The following is a 22,506-nucleotide window of genomic DNA, read 5'->3' on the forward strand; positions in this document are numbered from 1 at the left end:
ACTCCTGACTTCAGGTGATCCACCCACCTTGGCCTCCCAAAGTGCTAGGATTACAGGCGTGAGCCACTGCGCCCAGCCTATTTACTTATTTTTTATTTTTATTTTTATTATTTTTAGAATCTCACTCTGTCACCCAAACTGGAGTGCAGTGGCACAATCTCAGCTCACTGCAACCTCCGCCTCCCAGGTTCAAGCGATTCTCCTGCCCCAACCTCTCGAGTAGCTGTGACTACAGGCACCTGCCACCATGCCTGGCTAATTTTCGTATTTTTAGTAGAAATGGGGTTTTGCCATGTTGGCCAGGCTGGTCTCGAACTCCTGATCTCAATGATCCGCCCACCTCAGCCTCCCAAAGTGCTGGGATTACAGGCGTGAGCCACCATGTCCAGCCTCCTCTGCTCACTTTTTAATGTTTTGTTTTTTTTTATTGATTTAAGTTCCTTATAGATTCTGGACATTAGTCCTTTGTCAGATGCATAGTTTATGAATGTTTTCTCCCATTCTGTCAATTGTCTGTTTACTCTGTTGATCATTTCATTTGCCATGCAGAAGCTCTTTCATTTAATTATGTCCCACTTGTCAGTTTTTGGTTTTGTTGCAATGGTTTTTAAGGACTTGGTCTTAAATTCTTTGTCAAGGCTAACGCTGAGAAAGGTATTTCCTAGGTTTTCTTCTAGGATTTTTATAGTTTGAGGTCTTACATTTAAGTCTTCAATCAATCTTGATTTAATTTTTACACATGGTGAAAAGTAGGGGTTCCGTTTCATTCTTCTGCATATAGCTAGCCAGTTAATTGAGTAGGGAGTCCTTTCCCCATTGCTTATTTTTGTCAACTTTGTTGAAGATCAGGTGGTTGTAGGTATGCTGCTTTATTTCTGAGTTCTATATTCTGTTCCATTGGTCTATGTATCTATTTTTGTACCAGTACCATGCTGTTTTGGTTACCATAGGCTTGTAGTATAGTTTGAAGTCCAGTAACGTGATGCCTCCAGGTTTGTTCTTTTTGCTTAGGATTGCTTTGTGTGCCGCCTTCTGAAGTCTAGTCACCCTGTGTAAATTACCTACATTTGTTACTGACCAAGGTTCTTCCACAGGGGAGCCTGCTGCTAAGATGGCAACAGGGCTCCCTCCCAGCCACCCCTGGGAACCAGGATTGAATGTGCTGCACCTGCGTCCTCAGCTGTGCAGGGTGCCTGGTTCCTCGCAGTGGTGTCTGGATATTCACTGAGCCACAGCGCTGCTGGCTGAGGGGCAGGCAGGGGCCAGCACACCCACCTCAGGGCCAGACCTTGGTCCAGAGCAGGGGTTTGAGGACTTGGACAGGCAGTGGGCGCCATAGCAGACAGGGATCAGTCTCTGGGGGGACCTGGTGAGAGGATGGACGCATGGGGAGGAGCTGGGGCCAGTGGCTGAGCCTGCTCTGGCCCCCAGGGCCCACACATGGGGGGCTGGCTTGGGGAATGAATGAATGAATGAATAGGGGCTTGCATGGCTCTGTAACATCTGCCCAGGCTCCCCTCATTTTAGAATCCACGGATGGGCACAGTGCATCCTTCTCCCAACGACTTCCGGGCCTTTTGGGAAATGTGCTCACTATCGGCCTCTGGTGGTTGGCTGGTGTCTGGACTAGGCTGACCACACCCACACCAGGGCAGGATATTCGAGTCCCCTCTGCTTTCCCAGATCCTGGAGTCTCTTTGATATAAACAGTCAGCTTTGTTATGAACAGATGCCAGGGGCTCCTCTTAGCCTGGAGGGCCTGACTTCCAGCCAGGGGGGCACCGTTCTGTCCAGCTCCATGCTCCACTGCAGCAAACATGCAGGCGGTGGTGCGAAGGACAGAGGCAGCGTCTCAGCATGAGCAAATCAGCCGGGCAGCTCTCATGCCTCCAGGGATTTTTTTCAACATTTCACAAGGGCCAGGCATGGTGGCATGCAGCCGTAGTCCCAACTGCTCAGGAGGGTGAGGTGGGAGGATCGCTTGAACCTAGAAGTTCAGTTTCAATCAGGGCAACATAGTGAGATCCTATCTCTACAAAAAAATATTTTAAAAAAAATGATTTTACAAGAGATAGGTCAGGAATTGAGAAAGAGTGGGAAGGATGAAGGCAGGAGATGGTCCTTCTGAGGAGCACCTGCAGGCTGGCCGTGTCTGGGCACAGGGACAGAGAGGTGGGGCCCAATGCCGCCCTCAGGGTCGGGGTGGTGAGGAGGAGGGGGAGGGTCCTTTCCACAAGTCCATGCTGAGTCTCACATAGCTCTGTGCGGCTGCCCTGTTACACATTTCAAGAGTATTGACCCATGTCGTCTTCACAACTATGCTTCAAAACATTATGCCAGTTTTACAGATGAGGAATCTGAGACTTGGGGATGCAAAGTGGCTTTCCCAGTGTCACCCAGGCCTTCCTGACTCCCCAGCACAGGCCTTTCTTTCCCTGGGACCCACTTCTCTAGCAAATGCCAGGGCCTCAGTGACCGGGTGCCAGCAGGGTGCCGGTGGCAGGCAGGCACTGGGTCTGTCCCGTCTTCACTTGGTGCCCCCTTCCCTCTTTCCCTCCTCATGCAGCAACTGAACCACCCAAATATCATCAAGTATTTGGACTCGTTTATCGAAGACAACGAGCTGAACATTGTGCTGGAGTTGGCTGACGCAGGGGACCTCTCGCAGATGATCAAGGTGAGCGCCTGGCGGGGTGGGGGTGCTGGGGGCTGCGCAGATCTGGAGCCAAAGGTGGCAGTCTTCCTTTAGCCCAGTCCCACAATGCTCTGCCTTTAGCCAGAGGCGGCCACCCGGGGACCCTGGGCGCCCCCCTGCAGATGCCCACAGGCCTCAGCTGCAGTCTGGTGAGGGCCTCTCAGGGTCCGTCCCCAGCTGCTGTTGCTGGAGGCCTCTTTCTTTCCACTGGCCTCAGGGAAGCTCAGCTCAAAAGAGCCCATATGCAAAAGCAAGGCGAAGGTGGTGCCAAGACAGGATGGTGGCTGGGAGGGGGCCAGCCATGGGCAGAAGGAACTCCTCTGGCCACCCCCAGTGCCCCAGCCTACCACAGGCACATGAGCCACTTCTCCTGCCTCACAGAAGGAGCAGGGGCAGCACCCCGTTTGGTCAGACCCCAGCTCTTGGGAAAGCATCTTGTAGATCCACTACCTCATTTTAAAGAAGGGGAAAACTGAGCCCAGAGAGGTTAAGAGACTTGCCTGAGGATACCCAGCATTGTGGGTACAGAGCCATGCCTGTGGCCCAGGTCTCTTTTCCTGGCCTGGGACCCTTTGGTGGACATGGTCCCAAGATGCTCTCCCCAGCCCTAGAGGGGGAACTTCATTTCCATGTTAGGGCTGACACCCAGGCCTGGGGTCTTCAAGAGATTGAGTGACTGTTCGAGTCACATGGGCAGGCTCAGCGCCAGGACTGGCTCATGCTCCACGCCCCTACATACATCTTCACCTGCCTCATCCCACCACCCAGGGCACAGGGCGGAGTTCACCATGAGTCTGGTGTCCAGGACCACTGCAGCTTCAGTGAAACAGCAGCACCTCCTGCCAGCCTCCACCCAGCCCAGTACGCTCATGCGTCCCTCACTGAGTCCCCGCCGTCCTCAAATAGCAAAGCTCAGAGAGGTCTAGTCTCCTGCCCAAGGCACCTCAGCCTCTAGGTGGAAGCCCCCAGGCCTGCCTGACCCCCAGGCCCAAACCTTCAGCCCCTACTCCACTGCTCCTTAGTGGAGGTCCTCACGTCCCTACTGGCTTGGACCTCTGTCCCCAGGGCCCTGCTGTGGCCCCATCACCTCTCTACCCTGGATGCAGCCTGCCTGCTCCCAAGTGAGGCTGGGCCCCGCTGGAGCCCCCACCCTGCTCACAGCCGCACTTAGAAACGGGGCCGGATGTGGGTTCTCTGTCTTTCCCATCAGGCACTGGGGATTGAGCAATTGCTCAGTGCTCTTCTGAAATTTGGGTCCTAGGAATACAGGCGTCACTGGGAAGTGGCATTACTTGAGCTGTTATCACCTGCTCTTACATTTCCGTTGACATATTAATGCCTTTGCAGGGATGTTAATCTGCACACAGATCCCTGGTGGGAACAGATGTGCTAGATCATGTCTTAGCTCTTCCTCTCCCCCGCCCCCGCTTTACTTGTTTCTCCTTCACACGGATTCCCTTGCTGAACATACAAGCATCGTGTATCCACTGTGTGCCAGCCCTCATGCCAAGAACTAGGGTTGCCGCCAGCATGGCTCCTGCCCTCAGGGATCCCAGATTCTAACAGGAAAACAGACCCTCGAATGAGTAGTTAGGAGCCAGTGTGAACAAGCCATGTGCAGGGCCTGTGGGAGTCAGAGAAGGCTTCCTGGAGGAGGTGACACTGAGCTGAGCTGTTAGGGGAGGTGGGCTGTCCAGAAGCAGAAACGGTCCCACAGGGATGGGAAAGGGAAGGGAGCTGAGATGGAGACCACCGGATCACGTAGGGCCTGTTGCTCCAGGCTCGGGGTCCAGGACCAGGCCCTAAGGTCAGAGAAGCTTCCTAAGATTCATGGCGGTGAACAAACGTGGTCAGCTCTGTGTTCTAGAAGAAAGACTGGAGGCCGGGTGGAAGGAGAGGTGAGGGCAGGGACGGAGGAGGAGCAGGAGATGAAGGAGAGGCCTCTCCCTGCTGCCACACGGGAACGCAGCCCGTGGAGAGGACGCCTCACCCTCTCAGCCCCAGTGGAGCCCAGACACTGTGGCCTCTCAGTCCACGGAGTGGGGCTGCCGTCAGACAGGCAGATGGGGGGCTGGGGCTGGGCAAATCCCTCTTCCCTGAACCTCAGTTTCCACCCTGTCCCCGGGAACCTCTTGGAGGGAGCATTGCAGGAAACCCAGGCCAGGTGCAGTCTCCCTCAGCTGAGAGAGAAGAGGAGACATGGGGGCATTCTATCCAGCATCCCTTCTCTATGCCAGGCCTGGGATGGGGTGTCTCCTTCCCTGTGCACCCCTTCCTTGGCTTCACCAGAGCCAACACTGGCTCAGGGTTCAAGTCAGTCATGAACCCAGCAGGATTGAGTCTAGGATGGGTGTGGCCTCAGTTTCTGAGCAGCCACCTGGCCCCCCACGCCTCGGGTCCTTCCTCCTCACCTGGCATGGTTCCCCCTCCCACAGTCCCCACCTCTCTCCCCCCACTGTCCCTGCCTGCTCCCGTTCCCTCCAACCCGGCTCAGGGGCCCTCACCTGCAGAGCTGGCTCGGTGCAGCCGCCAGCAGGGGAGGCCTGGCAGTGCAGAGACCCACTCGAGTAAGACACGTCCCCTGGATGGCCTCAGGCGGGTCCCTGTGCCTCAGTTGCCTCATCTGTAACATACCAGCACAATGCCTGGGGTTTGGTGGGAGCTCGGTTCCCCTGGTTCTGCCTGCTCTCAGGCCACCTCTGGGTTTCCAGAGGAACAGGGGATACCCCATGGTCGCCCCACTGGCCTCAGAGGCTGTCAGGCAGCAGGGATTGTGTCCCGAGAGCCTGCAGCCTCAAGGGCTGAGCTGCGCCATCACAGCCATGGTGCCCGAGTTATTTACGAGGAAGAGTGAAGCTAGGAGCTGCCGTAGCCCCAGAACCCACCAGAGACTCTGCGCCTCCCCGCTAAATGTCAGACAGCGCTTATAGGACATGACATTTAGAAAATCACCACTCTCGGCCACGCGCGTCCCTGCTTAAATGCTGTAATGAGGATTCACTCACATCACAGCGTGAATAACATCCCGGCCTGGCCCGCCACAGGCCTGGAGGTGGCCTGGGGGTGGGGTCTGTGCTGAGACCTGGGACGGCTCACCTGAGAGGGCCTCCCAGAATTGTACCTCAGAACAGCCTCGAGGGGATTTACGGCGAGGTCAGGGGCTCCCCACTGCGACTGTCCCACCGTGGGAAGCACCCAGACCTGGGTCCCAGCTGGGTGCTGGGTGACCTTGGGCATGTTCCTGAACCTCTGAGCTCAGTCTCCCATATCAATGGTTACTGGTGTTATTAGAAGTGGGCTAAGGGGGCCAGGCGTGGTGGCTCACGCCTGTAATCCCAGCACTTTGGGAGGCCGAGGCAGGCAGATCACCTGAGGTGAGGAGTTCGAGACCAGCCTGGCTAACGTGGTGAAACCCCATCTCTACTAAAAATACAAAAAATAGCTGGGCGTGGTGGCGCACACCTGTAATCCCAGCTACTCGGGAGACTGAGGCAGGAGAATTGCTTGAACCCAGGAGGTGGAGGTTGCAGTGAGCTGAGATCACGCCACTGCACTCCAGCCTGGGCGACAGAGGGAGACTCCATCTCAAAAAAAAAAAGAAGTGGGCTAAGGACTTGGGCTTTCTAGGTGGGAGGCCTGGGGCTGAGCTGTGTTTCTGCCTCTTTCTACGTGGCCCTCAGTTTCGTTTCCCTGTCTGTAAGATGGGCCTAGCCCTCCCTCTTAGGCCCGGCATGGTGGCCACACCCTGCAGGTGGTCTGAAAGTGCTGGCCCAGCTCCTTTCCTCCACCCATGCCCCTTTCCAGGCCAGTGTGTCCTGGTCAGTTCCCAGCTTCCCAGCACCAGAGCAGCTGCCCTGACCAGCAGGCCCACAGCGCCGCCTCTGCCTGCTTTGGGGAAAGGTGGTTGCTTTGAAGCAAAAAGCCCCTGCACAAAAAGCTGGTATGCAGGTAGCTGGTGAAGAAGTCCTGCCCCACAGGCATGGGCCTGGCACCTGAGAGCCACCCCCGTCTCTAGCTGAGCCGTGGCTGTCACATGCTCTGGGCCTGCCCTCTCCAGGACCTTCTGTTACTTACAGCTCACTCAGTGTGGCCGGGGACCTTTAGTTTTTGTTTTCTTCCTGGAGCACTAAATATGTTTTCCCAGGCAGTGAAGCAGACTGATGCCCGTTGGAACTGGGGTTCCTTTTGAGTGCGTCAAGCCCATTTCCTCAAGGTTCTCGCCGCGTTTGTTAAGAATTCCAGTGCACTGAGATCTGCTGGTTCCGAGGAGATGGGGGCAGCTGTGATTTAACCACCACGTGTGTCCTGGGTGCCACCCTCCTGGGCCAGGCTGGGGCTGGGGACAGGGAGAGTCCACACCCATTTCAGTCTTGCAAGGAGTGCCCTGTGGAGGGGGTGTCCAGGAGGTTCTGGAAAAATGCAGTTGAGGGCCACTTTCAGCATATTTGAGCTGGGTGTCCATGCAGCAAAGCCATCCGGACATGCCAGGCCTGCCTGGCCCTCACGGAGCTTGCTGGGTTGGGACAGGGTGGCTGCAGAGTGCCATTCAGGCAGAAGTAGAGGCGTGGACACAGCACTCTTGGTTCTGGGCTTATTGTTTGCTCAGTGGCTCAATCCCCCCCCCCCGCCCCTGCCAGGCACCAGTTACCCACTGGGGAAAGGACAGAGGCAGTGCCCTGTGGCCACCCACCTCCAAGCCCGCTCACCCGGGCCTATCCCTCTGCTTGTCTCCCCCACTGCAGTACTTTAAGAAGCAGAAGCGGCTCATCCCGGAGAGGACAGTATGGAAGTACTTTGTGCAGCTGTGCAGCGCCGTGGAGCACATGCATTCACGCCGGGTGATGCACCGAGGTACGTGCCACCCGCCAGGAGCCGCCCGGAGCCACCTGGAGCCCAGGAAGACACTTCCTCATGGCTCCTCCAGGGTCCTCAGGGGCAGCCCCTTGAGGAAGTTGGACCGCTCTGTATTCCCCAGGCAAGGGGGCTGCCCAGCAACCGCGCACACACACGCGCCCGGGTCAGGAACCTCCCCGAGGTGGAAAGTGACATGAGCCCCAGGGGGCAGGGGCCCCGCTTGGCACACCACTTCCAGTTCCCCACAGCAGCCTGGGAGGGAGGTCGAGGAAGCCTCGCACAGAGGGGACTTTCATGGGGGCTTTGCCGTCTCAGCGGGCTGGGCTGAGAAGGGGAGGCACCTGAGAGGGGTGTTTCCACAGTTGACATGATTCCGAGTTGTGAGAAAGGAGCCTGCTGGGTGCCCGGCAGGGCACGAGGTCCTTTACGTAGGCTGCTTCATGGACACCTCCGTTCCTTCACTCTACCTGTATCTCTTGGTGTCTGCTGTATTGGAGGCCCCGCCCTCACTGGGGGGTACGGCACTGGGTGCTCCACTGAGCACTCCGTTCATTCATTACGCAGATTTTCCCTGAGGGCCTCCTGTGTGCGAGGCACTGTTCTAGGCATGGAGGATACAGCTCTAGAGCAGGAAACAGGAGCACAGAAACCCCTGCTGTCTTAACCCTCACAGCAGCTCTGTCAAGTTGGTGGAGGGAGACCCATTTTTCATATGAAGAAACTGAGGCTCAGAAATGGTCAATTTCCCGAGGTCCCACAGCCAGAGCCAGGACAGGGCCTTGCCCTGAGGGAGCAGGACCTGGGCTAGGCCTCACCTTCCTCCCCCTTCCTCTCGTCCTGCCCCACCTACCCCAAGCCTCCTACCCCACACCAATCTCCTTCTCCTCGCCCTGCAGACATCAAGCCTGCCAACGTGTTCATCACAGCCACGGGCGTCGTGAAGCTCGGTGACCTTGGTCTGGGCCGCTTCTTCAGCTCTGAGACCACCGCAGCCCACTCCCTAGGTAAGGGGGACCTGTCTGTGCCCCAGCAGCCCCCAGCGGTCCTGGTGACCATGCAGGGAGACGCAAACATTCTCCCCACGTGTGTTTGGTCAGTTAGTGCAGGAAGATGCCTTTTTTAAGCCCCAGGGTTTTCTCATCTGTTCAGAATAGTGACCCAGAAGGGAATCAGCTGTGGCCAGAGGAGCCCAGCTGGGGCTTCCCACACCCCCTGATCACCTCCCAGCCCTTGCGGGAGAAGCTGACTGAGCCGGTTGCTTGGAGCAGGGGGCGTGTCTGTGGCACAGGGCGGTCATCTTCCCACTGCTGTGAGTGTCCCGTTCACGGGCAGCACCCTTGGTCCATCCCTCCTAGGGGGTGGACATTTGCACTGTTCCTAGTTTCTGGCTTTTAAACTGGCGGTTTTGAGGCTGTGGGGACCAGGTGCCTGCCAGGGAGGAGGTGACATTGTAGCTGGACCATAAAGGGAGACCAGATGCTGTTGGGACAGGGAAGGGGAGGGAGCAGCGTTCCAGGAAACAGTGGGTGAGCCTCGGTGTGCGGCTGAGCTTGGCTTTGCCACAGACCAGGGTCCTTGCAGGAGTGGCATGAAAAGCGGGCAGGGCCTTGAACTCTGAGCTCAGTGGGCTGGACACCACCCTATGGGTCGGGGGGTGCTGAAGGGCTGGACTCCGGAAGAGACTTGGTCAGATGTGTTTTGGGGACAGGTGAAGCAATGGCAAGCTTCAGTATCCACACACTGGGTATGTAACCAAATGTGAAACTTGGAATGCTGTACGATGGGGGATTTTTCATTTAGTGAGAACAAAGGAACCAAGAAAGCCCCCGCTTCCCCACCAGTGGAACACAGGAGCAGGGTCTCCTGTGCGTTACTACAAGGCTGTCTGGGTTTCACCACGCCCATCTGTGGGAACATTTCCCAGAGGCCCATGGAGTGGGCGAGGGCCCCTGCTTTCTCAGGGCTATTTCCTGGCTCTTTGAGGTGTGTTTGCAGTGGAAGGTGCCCCCAGGCCCACCCCCTGTGTGCTGTGCCCACCAGCATCCGCTTCCCCAGGAGGGGGCTGGGCCCCAGGAGCTGCCCGCCGCCTCCTTGAACACCGCCCCATTCCAGCTCATTTCCACCCCACTCCATGGCTCAAGCCAGGACGTCTCCTATCCCCAGACCCCCGAGTGCCTGCGGCAAGCGGGGTGTGAGAGACAGCAGCATTGTCTGGGCGGAGGCACTTTCTGGAAGTCACAGTGTCTTGTGGAAAGTGTCACTGTTCATACAGGTTCCAGAGAGACTCTCAGCGCGTCACACACACTTAGGAGAAATGTACGAGCCTAGAGACCAGCGACTCCCAGCAGCTGATGGAGCCAGCGGGGCTGGCGGGGAGGGGGTTGTTTTGAAACTCTTGTCCCCACCTGGCCAGGCCTCAGGAGCTCTTCCTTTAGCTCCAAAGGGAAGATGTGTAGGGACCCACCCCCCAGGGAGTATGGGACGTTCCACTCATGCCCTTGACAGCCCCAAGCATCCAGCCATCCTTCCCTTTAGCAGAGGAAGAATCAGAAATCCAGGCGCTCGAGAGATTTTTCCGAGGTCACATGGCAGCAGGCCTCTCCTTCAGAACCCACGCTGCTTCCAGGAAACGAGGGCCGGGGGCCTCGGCAGATACCGTTGGAGTCCCCCTTTGGGGACCCGGGCCACTGACTCTCCGTTGCTGGAAGGAAGCCTCGTCTTTCCTTGTCCCCTCAAACATTTACTTCCCTTGTGAAAAACCAAGTGTTTCGGTCAGTTTGGGACTGTTTACCTGTGTGGTTGAAGGGCTTCGAAAAGACCAGGAAATTCAAGGGAAGCTGTCAAAGAGAAGAGTTAGAACCGCTGCGTCCTGTCCCCCGTCAGTCAGCACCGAGCCTTTCTCTGTCCCACTGCAGAAAAAAGACTGTGGCGCTCCGTCAGAGAGGGTTAGGATCGCATCATTAGGAATGGGCAGAGATGCGTCTCATCCGACAGTATGATTTTATTGACTTGGACTGGTGCACTTATTATATTAATGAGAAGGAATTGGAACTTGGGAGAAGGCCGCCCTCATAAGCCGGGCTCTTCCCAAGCCCTCCGAGCGCCGACCAGGCCACATGATGGGTGGAAGGAGCCCTCCTGGGGCCTGTCCCCACTCCGGGCTCTGTGCCCGGCATCCAGGAGAGATGCCCAATGAGCTGAGGCCTGCACGGAGCTGAGCAAGTCCCTGCCAGCAGGACAAGCTCCCAGAACCAAGGGCCTGCACCCACCAGGTTCTAGAATGGTGACAGTGCCAAGCTAAAGCCCAGGACCTGTATCTCCAAGACCCAGGGGAAAGACCCCTTCCACCAAGAGGTTCTGCAAACAGCTAAGTCTTGCACACACGTTTGGTTGGGCAAGAGATTGAACTAATTACCATTGCATCGTGACTCAGGAGGGGCACAGGGGCCAGGGACACTTCACGCCCTGTGCGTGGGGATGAATTATGCATCTGCCGCATCTCATGTGCACCTACTATGTGGGGATGCTGTGGTGGCAGCCACGTTGCCCCAGCAACCACCTCATCTCCTAAGGCTGCTGACCCAAGAGCTGGGCTTATGCAAATCTGGTCTCCTCCCACTTCCCCCCTCCCTGGGCCCCCTCCCCGCCTCTGTATTTGCTAACACGAGGCTGGCATGAAAGGGCATTAGTCAGTGCCATGGTCGGGCTGACAGGTGCGGTACCCAGCGGTGGCAGAGTGGCTGCCTCGGTGTCAGAAATAGGAGCCGTAATTAGAGCGCGGAACAGAATGAGCGTCAGACGAATTACCAGGCAGCAGATCATATTTGTCAGGAAGGATTGCATACATAAAAATTAAGTGACAGTACACGCCGGCGTAATGCAGGAAAAATGAAAGATTTGCCTATACACAGCTCACAAGCTACAAGCAAGTGTCTCGCTCCGAGCAACGGCAGCAGCTGCAAGACAAATCACGGGGCTGGGAGAGCGGGCGGGCAGGCCTGGCTCCTCGGCTGTAGTGACAGGACAGTCTCGGTGACAGGCAGCCACGGGTGACAGGGCAGGAAGGGCGGCTGGTCACACCCAGGCCCATGCAGGGCCCGTGCTGCCTCTTGGGGGCTGGGAGAGCAAGTCTAGTTGGGGGTGACCCCATCAGGTACTCGAGGTCACGGCCCTGCTGGGTCTCCCAGGGCTTAGCCTGGCGCTGAGGCGCAAACCCCTTCCTTCTTCTTCCTTGAGCAAACTGCCTGGCCCTGGGCTGTGTGCTGGGGATATGCGATTATGCAGCTTTCGAGGGGACAGACACAGTCCATGCCAGGTGGCATGGTGAGGGGACAGGTGGGACTGCCTCTTGGGGCCCACTGTGGGCAGGCAGGGCAGGCGTGGGGCTCTGTGATTCTATACAGAGCCCCAGGGAGCCCAGGGTGGCTCCACCCCTCCCAGAGCCGCCCTCACTTCGTTACTCTGTAGCCACTGAACTCACTGAAAAGATGAGTTAAAGACGGAGAAAAAAGAGTTCAAAAAACATTTTGTTTTTTCGTTGGCCAGGCGTGGTGGCTCCCGCCTGTGATCTCAGCACTTTGGGAAGCCGAGGCAGTCAGATCACTTGAGGTCAGGAGTTTGAGACCAGCCTGGCCAATATGGTGAAACCTCGTCGCTACTAAAAATAGCAAAAAAATTAGCCAGGCCTGGTGGTGCACGCCTGTAATCCCAGCTACTTGGGAGGCTGAGGCAGGAGAATTGCTTGAACCCGGCAGGTGAAGGTTGCAGTCAGCTGAGATGGCGCCATTGCACTTCAGCCTGGGCGAGCGACTCTGTCTCAAAAAAAAAAAAAACAAAACATTTTGCTCATTTTGCTTTTTTGTAAATCATCACAAGGCTTATTATTATCCCATTTTACAGATTAGGAAACTGAGGCCCAGGGAAGTAAGAGAGACCACATCCCTGTGGTCACCCAGTAGCCAGATACCAGAGCCCCACGGGAAATCAGCTCAAGTTGAAGAGCCCTTCTCGAGGCATCAGCCTACAGCATGGCCCAGGGAGGGTTTGGGTTGTGGGTGCCCAGGGAAGGGGTCGAGAGAGGATCCCCAGCGAGACCTCAGGTGCGAGGAACACCTAGGGCTCTGAGCGCTCCATCCCTGAGGAAAAGCCCACCTGACCTCGCCAGCAGCAGGTGTTGGTGGACGACCTGGAGCTCATCCTGGGCCCCACAGGGAAGGACAGAGCCTCCTCTCATGGTGTGTGTCAGCGCTGCCTTGCCGGGGATCACACCATGCTGTGCTGCGTCTGTGCCCAGGCCTGGCATGGGGGCCCTTGTGGAACATTTGCTGAGTGGATGGACGACCTTCATGGCCAGGCATCCCTGGGGACACCTGTCCGTGCAGGTGCGGAGGGCCATGCAGATGCATCCCAGGCCGCCTCCTGCCCCAGCCCCACCCTGCGTCCCATCCCAACAGTGCAGGATGCCTGGGAATGATCCTGTCAGTCCCTCGGGCCCAGAATCCCTGCCTCAGCAGATGGATCTCAGGCCTGAGTTTCAGCCGAGGTTCTGAGCACTAACCCCTCGGTGGCAGTCACAGGTCTGCCACCTTCCTGGCATTTTCAGGGGCACAGACTGTTAGGAAGAGATGAGCTGATGCCAAGAGGGGAGGGAAGGAGAGGGAAGGGCCTTAAGGGGCCAGCAAGTGAGGAGTCAATCTGGACCTGGGATGTAAACTCCAGCTCTTTGGTTCATTCATTCGTTCATCCATTCGACAAGGATCTGTGCTGGGCCTGGGCCGTTCCCCGGGAAGGCTGGCTTGGCCCCTGCCTTTGTGGAAGATACAGCCTGGTAGGAGAATCCATTTAGTCTTCACCATGAACCAAACACTCCTCCAACAATTGCTTCTCATTTTCCAGAGAGGGAAACCAAGTCTGCAGAGGTCAGGGGGGGACCCTCTGTTTTCCTGATGGGGAGACCGAGGCTGAGAGAGAGTTTCTGTTCTCAGCCAGGGAGTGGAGGAAGCAGGTGCAGCCCAGCCAGCTCCAGCTCCATGTCACTGCTGTCCCCACCTGCCCCTGTCTGTCCCATGGAGGATTCAGTGCCAAGGCACAGCCCCCCAGCCCAATGTCCCGCCGGCTGGACGGATGTCAGCAAGGAGACCGCATTTCTCCAGCTGCTTTCCAATCCACCATCTGGGGAAGAGGGGCAGCTTGCAGACACCAGCCTCCCCTTCCTGTGAAATCTGCCTTTTTCGTAGCTAATGAACATGTTTCAAACACCGAGAGCATTTCAAAACACGGCAAAGTTTGTTTTGACAGGACCGGCGCATCTTGGGGAAGCGGGGCCCCTTTAATCAGCCTCCCTCTTTCAGATCCCGCATTCTCCTCTGATATCTGCTGGGTTTGAAATCGGGAGTTCTAGGTAAAGATTCCGGGAAGGTCAGGGTTTGTCAGGCTCTTCTTTCATACACACAGCTCCGTCCCCCACCAAGAGGAGGGGGCGGTGGGAGTCTCAGGGAGGGGCATGGAAACCCAGGCTGCACAGGGCTCTGCCTCTGCGTCTCGGCATCGCCGGGAGATGGGCCGGGATAAGGCCCGGGCTGCACTGCACACAGAGGTCGTCCTGGGCAGGACCCCCGCTGTCTGTGGAGACCCCTCCTCCTGCCAGCTTCCCCGACGACTCCTCAGAATCCCAGCTCTCCTGGCGTCTGGGGATGCATCCTCCAGTGGCCCGCTGCAAGCTGGGGGTTTCTTTGAAATCTCTTGTTTTATCTTCAAAACTCATGCGAGTTGGGCATTGTGCTCTGTAGTGTCTGAGTGGCTATTGTCAGCGTAGACACCAGGCTTTACGTGACTTATTCCCAGACAAGTTGCCATCACAGGAAGAGGTGCTGTATCTGCTCCTGTAGCTTCCCACAGCCCTAGCTGCAGTCCAGGACACCCTGCCCCCCAGTGAGACACAGCACCCTGACTTTAAGATAGAAGGGGGAGCAGCCCCTCCCCTGGGTCAGGGGGTTGGGGAACCTGCCGGGAGGCAGGGACCTGAGGACCCTGTGCTGCCAGGCTCAGGATGGGCCAAGCCTCTCTCAGTTAAGGCTTCACTAGTTCCTTCACTTTCTTTACCTTTCCGTTGCACAGATGCTCACCGAGCGTCTGAAAGAGTGAGGTGGGTGAGTGAGGCCTTTTGGCAGCTCCTTTTAGACGGGAACTAACAGTAACATCTCTTGTAAGAGATACAGGGTCCAGGTTCCACCCCTGGAGATTGTGGCCCCCAGGTCTGGAGTTGGACTGGAGATCCAGATTTCTAACCAGCCTCTCCAGGCAATTCAGCTGCAGCATGGATCATTTCAGTCCTTTTTTTTTTTTTTTTTTTTTTGAGACTGAATTTCGCTCTGTTGCCCAAGCTGGAATGCAGTGGTGCGATCTCGGCTCACTACAACCTTCACCTCCCGGGTTCAAGAGATTCTCCTGTCTTGCCCTCCCAAGTAGCTGGGAGTACAGGCGCGTGCCACCACACCCGGCTGATTTTTTAAATTTTTAGTAGAGATGGGGTTTCACCATGTTAGCCAGGATGGTCTCGATCTCCTGACCTCGTGATCCACCCGCCTTGGCCTCCCAAAGTGCTGGGATTACAGGCGTGAGCCACCACGCCCGGCCCAAGTCCATTCTTGATAGACATGGTCTACTGGCTGTTTCTGAATACTTCCTGGGACAGGCAACTAACTCCCTGCCTCCTGATGGGCCCACTCCTGCAAGGTCCCAGCAGGGTCAAGGCTCAGTTAATCTTAGTTGGAGGTGGGCAGGTGGCTGGCTGGATGGATGGGTGATGGACAGACTGATGGATGAATGAATGGGGGTTGGATGGATGGATGGATGGACGATAGACAATTATGGATGGTTGGACAGTTGGGTGGATGATGGATGGATGGCAATTTGCAACACTAGCATCTTAGAAGAAAGCTCCAAATTGCATTTGGATGTTTGCCTTTTCTCCGTACACCAGTGGAAATGGGGTAAGCAGAGAGAGCAGTGAGGTGGCAGAGGAATGAGGTGAAGAGAGGAGGGGACGGAGGGCTGGTGCCCCCAATCTCTCTCTGCCCACGTGCCCAGGCTTTCAATATAAAGCCAGGCTGAGACAGGGATCTGTCGGCCTGCCTTGGAGCTCCAGCAGAGGGAGGAGGTGGTGACAGAACAAAGGGACAAACCTAACGTTTGGGTCCTGCTGAGCAGCCGGCTCTCCCTGGCCAGGGGAGGGGACCTTAAAGGAGCCCGCAAGGTGGCAAAGGGAACAGCACGTGCAAAGGCACAGAGGCGAGTGGAAAAGCGGGCTGGGGCTGGGGCTGGAGTAGCCGCTGTGGGAGGACCCGGGCTGAGGGCCAGGCACTCCAAGCCCTTGCTTTCCGATGGTCCTGGCCAAGGCAGCGCCAGGCCACACCCCGGCCCCAGTGTAGGTGACCTCTCCCCACAGCATCCCTCCTGTAGAGGCCCAGGCAGATCCACAGTGAGCAGAGGAGACTCAGGGTGGGAAGAGCCTGTAGGGTCAGACAGGAAGGGGCTTGGCCAGGGGTCTGAAGGGTTCAGTGTTAGCCAGACAGTGCACAGTGGTGTCTCTCACTGGGGACAGGACTCCCTGCCTGCATCTGTCCCCTGCCATCTCTGTGTGCACCCCATCAGCCCTACATCATTGTCCAACCTGTAGGCACATCCATCCATAGCACCCAGGTGCTGGAATCCACTTACATTTGTCCTGAGGTTCCCACTGTTCACCGAGAACTGTGTGTTTCATCCCATGGTTGGCTACGACAAGCCATCCATTTCACACTGGGCTGTTCCTTTACTTTTGCTCCCTCGTGACCAAAATATACAAGGTGTTGCTACTGGAAGTTGCGATTTGCTGTCCTATAAGAACCCCACACGGATTCATATGTTGACTGACAGCCCTTTCTGCTGAGTAGCGGTTAGCCCCTGGCTTCGCTCATCAAGTATGCATAGAGGATGACACCTTTCTCACAAGCAGGGCTTTAAGTGAGGGCTGCTGCGCTTGTTTGGGGATTATTGCCATGAAAAGGAGCTTGGTATCCTGATGAAGCAATAATCACATTTCAGACAGTTGAGCTCCGGGCAGCCATCAGTTAAATGAGCAGTGTGTTCAGCTGCAAGGAAGAATTGTGGGCAGTGGCACGCGCCGCCACATAGCTCACAGGCAGGCGGACTCATTCATCCAGTGAGCGGACGCCCACAAGGCACCCACTATGAGCCGTCCTGCGCAGGGTACTGGGATGCGGCAACAAACAAAGTCCTGCCCCTGGGAGTTGACAGCCCAGATCAGAGATTTCCAACACCATTACAGCCTCTCCAAAAACTGCGAGGTAGTTCTTCATCCATCTCCATTAAGATAAGAAAAACAAGGCCGGATGCAGTGGCTCAGGCCTATAATCCAAACACTTTAGGAGACCAATGTGGGAGGATCGCTTGAGGCCAGGAGTTTGAGACCAGCCTGGGCAACATAGTGAGAACCTCTCTCTACAAAGAATTTTAGGCGGGGCGTGGTGGCTCATGCCTGTAATTCCAGCAATTTGGGAGGCCAAAGCGGGCAGATACCCAAGGTCAAGAGTTTGAGACCAGCCTGGCCAACGTGGTAAAACCCATCTTTACTAAAAATACAAAAATTAGCCAGGCATGGTGGTGTGCACCTGTGGTCCCAGCTACTAGAGAGGCTGAGGCAGGAGAATCATTTGAACCCAGGAGGCAGAGGTTGCAGTGAGCCAAGATCGCGCCACTGCACTTCAGCCTGGGCAACAGAGCGAGACCCTGTCTTAAAGAAAAAAAAGAAGAAGAAAGAAAAAACAAGAATATAATCAAGTTCAAAATGTTAAACTTGTTCAGTTTTGTAAAGAACTGTCCTCAGTTTTGAGAAATGGGTTTTCTCAATCATGCCAAGCTGTCTTTTCTTTAAAAATCATAGTGACTGACACTAAATGGTAGTTGGGGGCTTTGTGTTTTTTAAATGCTTCCTTCATGAAATTAAAAGTTACCTGTGTTTTTCCCGAAATCTCCTGACCCGTGAAACCCTGAGGCCTCGGCCCGGTGCCTTCTGAGTCCAGCCCCTGAATGGTCCATTCTCCTCCCAGGGTCCTGGATCCCCTCTTCCTCATGTCACAGGCCACATCTCAGCCAGCCTTTGCCACGCTGGGACTCCAGCTCACCACAGAGACTGGTGAGGACAGCAGCAGCCTCTGTCACATGACATGGTGTCTCCAGGCCAGTGAAAATGTTCTCAGTTTAGCAACCTTAAAAATCCAGGCCAGGCTGGGTGCAGTGGCTCACACCTATAATCCCAGCACTTTGGGAGGCCGAGGCAGACGGATCACCTGAGGTCAGGAGTTCAAGACCAGCCTGGCCAACATGGTGAAACTCCGTCTCTACTAAAAATATAAAAATTAGCTGGGCATGATGGCACGTGCCTGTAATCCCAGCTACTCAGGAGGCTGAGGCATGAGATTCACTTCAACCCGGAAGGCAGAGGTGATCGCACCACTGCACTCCAGCCTGGGCGACAGAGCGAGACTCTGTCTCAAAAAAAAAAAAAAAAGAATTCCGGGCCTATGCCTCCAGAATAGCCATCCACTCAATGGGCTGATAGGAGAATGTCAGGTTACAGGACCAGATTCCTGGGCTCCACTCCAGACCTGCTAAATCAGCCCCTCTGCTGAGGTGTTCATGCCTCTGGTGATGGAGAGCTCACTGCTTCAGGAAATCCTCCCATCTTTGCACGGTTCCAGCTCATCCAATATGTGCCCTGCTGCCCAGAGATAACCCTACAGGTGCTGGGAGGTCAGGGCACAGCCCTCCACAATTTCCTCAGTGTTGGCGTTTCCTGCGGGGAGAAGAGGGACCCTGAGGACAGGCCCTGAAGCCCTCTGGCTTCCCTCTTGGCAGCAGAGCCCCATCTTCACCATTAACACCTTTTTCCTCATTCACTTTTTAACTGAGGTATAATATACATACAGTGAAGCTCCTGGAGCCCTTTCCTGGTCACCACTCCTATAGAGTAGCTTTTCCTGTTCTTGAATTTCACATAAATGAAATACAATAATGTGCTGTTTTGTGCCTGGTTTCTTTTACCCAGCATTATGTCCATGAGCTGCATTCATTTTGTCGTGTATAACTGAGATTTGTTCTTTTGCAGTGCTGTACAGTATCCCACTGTGTGAACAGACCACAGTTTATCAATTGATCCAACATTTGTTTCCAGTTTTTGCTGTTACAAACAAAGCCACTCTGCACATTCTTGATTGTGTCTTTTGATGGATGGAAGCACTCATTTGGGCATCTACCTAGGAGCGGAATTGCTGGGCTATAGTGTTGGCAGTGTTTGGCCATGGTAGAAACCAGCCGATGGTCTTCCAAAGTAGTTGTACCATTTTACCTTCTCATCAGCAAAGCATGGACATTCCAGGTGCTCCACACATCATCGACCTTGTTTTTCTTTAACTTTGGTTTTTTTGTCTTTAAACATTCAGATGGGTGCGTAATTGTACCTCATTGTGTTTTTTTGGTTTTGTTTTTTGTTTTGAGACAGAGTCTCACTCACTCTCTCACCTGGGCTGGAGTGCAGTGGCATGATCTCGGCTCACTGCAGCCTTCACCTCCTGGGTTCAAGGGTTTCTTCTGCCTCAGCCTCCTGAGTAGCTGGGATGACAGGTGTGTACCACCATGCCTGGCTAATTTTTGTGTTTTTAGTAGAGACAGGGTTTCACCATGTTGGCCATGCTGGTCTCAAACTCCTGACCTCAGGTAATTCCCACACCTCGGCCTCCCAAAGTGGTGGGTTTACAGGCGTGAGCCACCGTGCCATTCATTGTGTTTTAATTTGCCCTTCCCTGATGAGTAGTAAGAAAAGTAGCCTCACTTCATGTGCTTCTTGGCCACTGGGATATTCTCTTTTGTGAAGTGCCTGTTCAGGGCTTTTGCTCATTTGAATAAGGGGGTAGTTTGTCTCTTATGTACTGATTTGCAGAAGCTTTGAAATATGTTCTGTGAAGAGTCCGTTGTCAGGTGTATGTGTTGGGATGATTTTCTCCCAGTCTGTGACTTGCCTTTAACTCTGGTGTGGTTTGATGAACTGAAGTTCCTAGTTTTAATGCCTTACACACGTTTCCTTTTTGGTTAGTGCCTTTTCCATCCTGTTTAAGAGATTTCGGCCAACCCGAGTCTGGACCGGCTAATTGGCGGGTGGCCATGGGCAGAGCTAAGTGGTCAGTTTCTGGAACCTGAGGGTCTGGGTTTGAACTAATTCCTGCCACTCTCGTGCAAACCTCTTCACCCATCTGAGCCTCAGTTTCTCCATCTGGAAAATGGAGATACTGCCTCATAGCACTGTTGGGAACAGAAATGAGCTGACACATGGAAGATCTTGGTCAGCCTCCACAGTGATGGTTTTTTCACTGTTCAGAGCCTGATCCTGACTCTTGCAGATTCAGACAGTCCCCTTAAAGGACATGTGGTCAGTTGCTTCCCCCAGCCGGGCCGAGGAGGCATCCCCTTCCCCTGGGCAGCTGGCAGAAACACCAACCCCCAGCTCTCCAGCCCCATCCTGATTTTTTTTTTTTTTTTTTTTTTTTTTTGAGCCCGAATCTCACTCTGTTGCCCAGGCTGGAGTGCAGTGGCGCAATCTTGGCTCTCTGCAGCCTCCGCCTCCCTGGTTTAAGTGATTCTCCTGCCTCAGCCTCCTGAGTAGCTTGGATTATAGGTGTCTGCCACTATGCCCAGCTAATTTTTGCATTTTTAGTAGAGGCGGGGTTTTGCCCTGTTGTCCACCCACCTTGGCCTCCCAGAGTGTTGGGATTACAGGCGTGAGCCATGGCGCCCAGCCTCCCAGCCTGATTCTTGGTCTCGGTGGGTCCAGGGAATCTGCTTCAAGTCCCTGGCACCCCAGGTGTTTAGTGCCCTGCTAGCATGGGAACCTCTAATCTGATCCAACTGCTCATCTGACAGAGGAAGGCCCAGGCCCAGAGAGGGAGAAGGGCTGCTCAGAGACCGAGGCACAATCTCTCCCCAGCTCCCGTGTGCCCTCCCTCCAACCTCACCTCTGTGCCCTGCCCCTGCCCTACATGGAGCATAAGCAGCCCCGCCCCTTGCTGTGTTGCAGTGGGGACGCCCTACTACATGTCACCGGAGAGGATCCATGAGAACGGCTACAACTTCAAGTCCGACATCTGGTCCCTGGGCTGTCTGCTGTACGAGGTGAGTCTCTGTCCGTGGCTCAGCAGCATTTGGTGGGACATGCATGGGGGGTGCCCAGTTAGGACAGGGCTCACCCTACCAGCTCAGGGTTGGAACCCAGGAATGTCACGTCTGCCTGAGGCATCGGTACCACCAGGGCCCTGTCCTTCACCCTCCTCAGCCCCACGTGGGGCCTGGTCTGCAGGGCCAGGCTGGTGGAGGCTGTTAGAGGGTGGACAGCAGTGGGCGGGGTCCAGGAAGGGAAGACAGAGGGAGCACAGGCCAGGCATCTGATCCCCAGCTGCCCCTGCCCCCGTCGCCCTGGTAACCACATTAACACACCGGCGATTCTGTTCATCCTTTATTATGGGTCAGGCCCGGTGCAGGGCACCTGGGGTCAGGAGAGGAGTCAGACTTGCCTCATGCCCCTGAATCACTCTCCACTGACAGGTGGCCACCCCCTCCAGGCCCAGAAATGTGGGTCTCCCTAAAGACCACCACCTCTCCCCTGAGCTGTTAAATGGAGCTAGGGGATGGCCACTTCCAGACCTGGTGGCCTGCCTGGACAAAGGGACAGGAACATTTCTGAGTTTCAGTGAGCCCAGACGTGAGACAATAAGAATAAATGGAAGCCCCCCACCCATTTTGTCCAGCCACACTGGGGCCCCAGGTGATGAGAGGTGTGGGGAGCATGAGCCACTCTTGGCCATGAAGCTCTTGCAGCCACCGGCAGGAGGGAGGCCTAAGTTCTCCGGTGTCCAGGTTGGCAGCCACACAAGCTCCCCACTGTCCCTAGACCACCAAAGGCTGGGTGGCTCCGGGATTCCATCCACCTGGCTGAGCCCCTCCGCATCTATAAGATGGGAACAGGACCACCTGTCTTGCATTGTCCTCAGTCCTGATAAATGACAGACAGGAAAGGGCTCTGGAAACCCCCCCAGGCTGTTAGACACCAAGCCCGGCTTGGTTTTACAGTTGGAACCCTGACTGTTTTTCTGCTTTCCCTGGAGCTGACTTGAGCAGATGTGGGGTCTGGCTTGGAGCTGACACACTGAAAGAACTTCAGTCTCAGCTGCTGTGGCCGGTGACAGTCCACAGCAGTGATGCTCAGGACAGCGTGTCCAGGGCCTGCCTCGAGTGCTGCGCAGTTGTCCACAGAGCCTGATTGCTCTGTCCCCTTGGGACTGTCGACTCTGAGGCTGACCTCACAGCCCTTGTGCATGAACTTGAGGGCTACGCTGCCCACCGCTGGGCCACGTGGGACCCGCGGCCGCTCTCGTGGCCAGGGGGTCTTGTGGCCAGGGTCTTTTGGTGGTGAGATTTCCCCTCCCCACATTACAGATTGAGACTATGAGTTCAAAACTCTGATCTGTTTGCAGGGTTTAAACTTCACAGCATCTTTCTTTTGTTTTTTTGAGACAGAGTCTCACTCTTGTCGCCCGGGCTGGAGGGCAGTGGCGCAATCTCGGCTCACTGCGGCCTCCACCTCCCAGGTTCAAGCAATTATCCTGCCTTAGCCTCCCAAGTAGCTGGGACTACAGACGCCCGCCACCCCACCCGGCAAATTTTCGTATTTTTTGGTAGAGACGGGGTTTCACCATGTTAGCCAGGCTGGCAGCATCTTTCTTTATAAGCCAGTGACCTGCTATATTTCATTTTAACAGACTGGCTGGAGGTGTGGTCCTTGTGGAACTGGTGCTTGGGACCCCTTCTCCCGGGGCTCAGCAGATGCGGGTGACAAGAGGGTGGGACCC

At 55.5% G+C, this 22,506-nt stretch overlaps 1 protein-coding gene across 21 annotated transcripts in view, besides 3 other annotated features; it reads left to right on the forward strand.

The window, feature by feature from the left end:
• Positions 1–22,506, forward strand: part of NEK6 (NIMA related kinase 6) — a 95,702-nt gene that overhangs the window by 61,287 nt on the left and 11,909 nt on the right. For 13 of the 21 annotated variants that reach the window (NM_001166167.2, NM_001145001.3, NM_014397.6 and 10 more), the window contains 4 exons: positions 2,567–2,677; positions 7,438–7,546; positions 8,446–8,553; positions 20,679–20,773. In NM_001166167.2, the coding sequence (NP_001159639.1) occupies positions 2,567–2,677; positions 7,438–7,546; positions 8,446–8,553; positions 20,679–20,773 (423 nt within the window). Of the gene's footprint in view, positions 1–2,566; positions 2,678–7,437; positions 7,547–8,445; positions 8,554–20,678; positions 22,487–22,506 lie in introns of all 21 variants that reach the window. The other 8 variants (XR_007061235.1, XR_007061234.1, XR_007061237.1 and 5 more) reach the window with 1 other exon arrangement.
• Positions 5,723–5,802: an enhancer, noted in NCBI's record as "active region_28982". NCBI's record gives its function as "activates an Ori minimal core promoter by ATAC-STARR-seq in GM12878 lymphoblastoid cells {active_cell/tissue: GM12878}" and the evidence as "EXISTENCE:reporter gene assay evidence [ECO:0000049][PMID:35858748]".
• Positions 5,813–5,862: an enhancer, noted in NCBI's record as "active region_28983". NCBI's record gives its function as "activates an Ori minimal core promoter by ATAC-STARR-seq in GM12878 lymphoblastoid cells {active_cell/tissue: GM12878}" and the evidence as "EXISTENCE:reporter gene assay evidence [ECO:0000049][PMID:35858748]".
• Positions 6,352–6,401: an enhancer, noted in NCBI's record as "active region_28984". NCBI's record gives its function as "activates an Ori minimal core promoter by ATAC-STARR-seq in GM12878 lymphoblastoid cells {active_cell/tissue: GM12878}" and the evidence as "EXISTENCE:reporter gene assay evidence [ECO:0000049][PMID:35858748]".

The sequence above is a fragment of the Homo sapiens genome, chromosome 9 (genome assembly GCF_000001405.40).
Source record: "Homo sapiens chromosome 9, GRCh38.p14 Primary Assembly".
Classification (NCBI taxonomy): domain Eukaryota; kingdom Metazoa; phylum Chordata; class Mammalia; order Primates; family Hominidae; genus Homo; species Homo sapiens.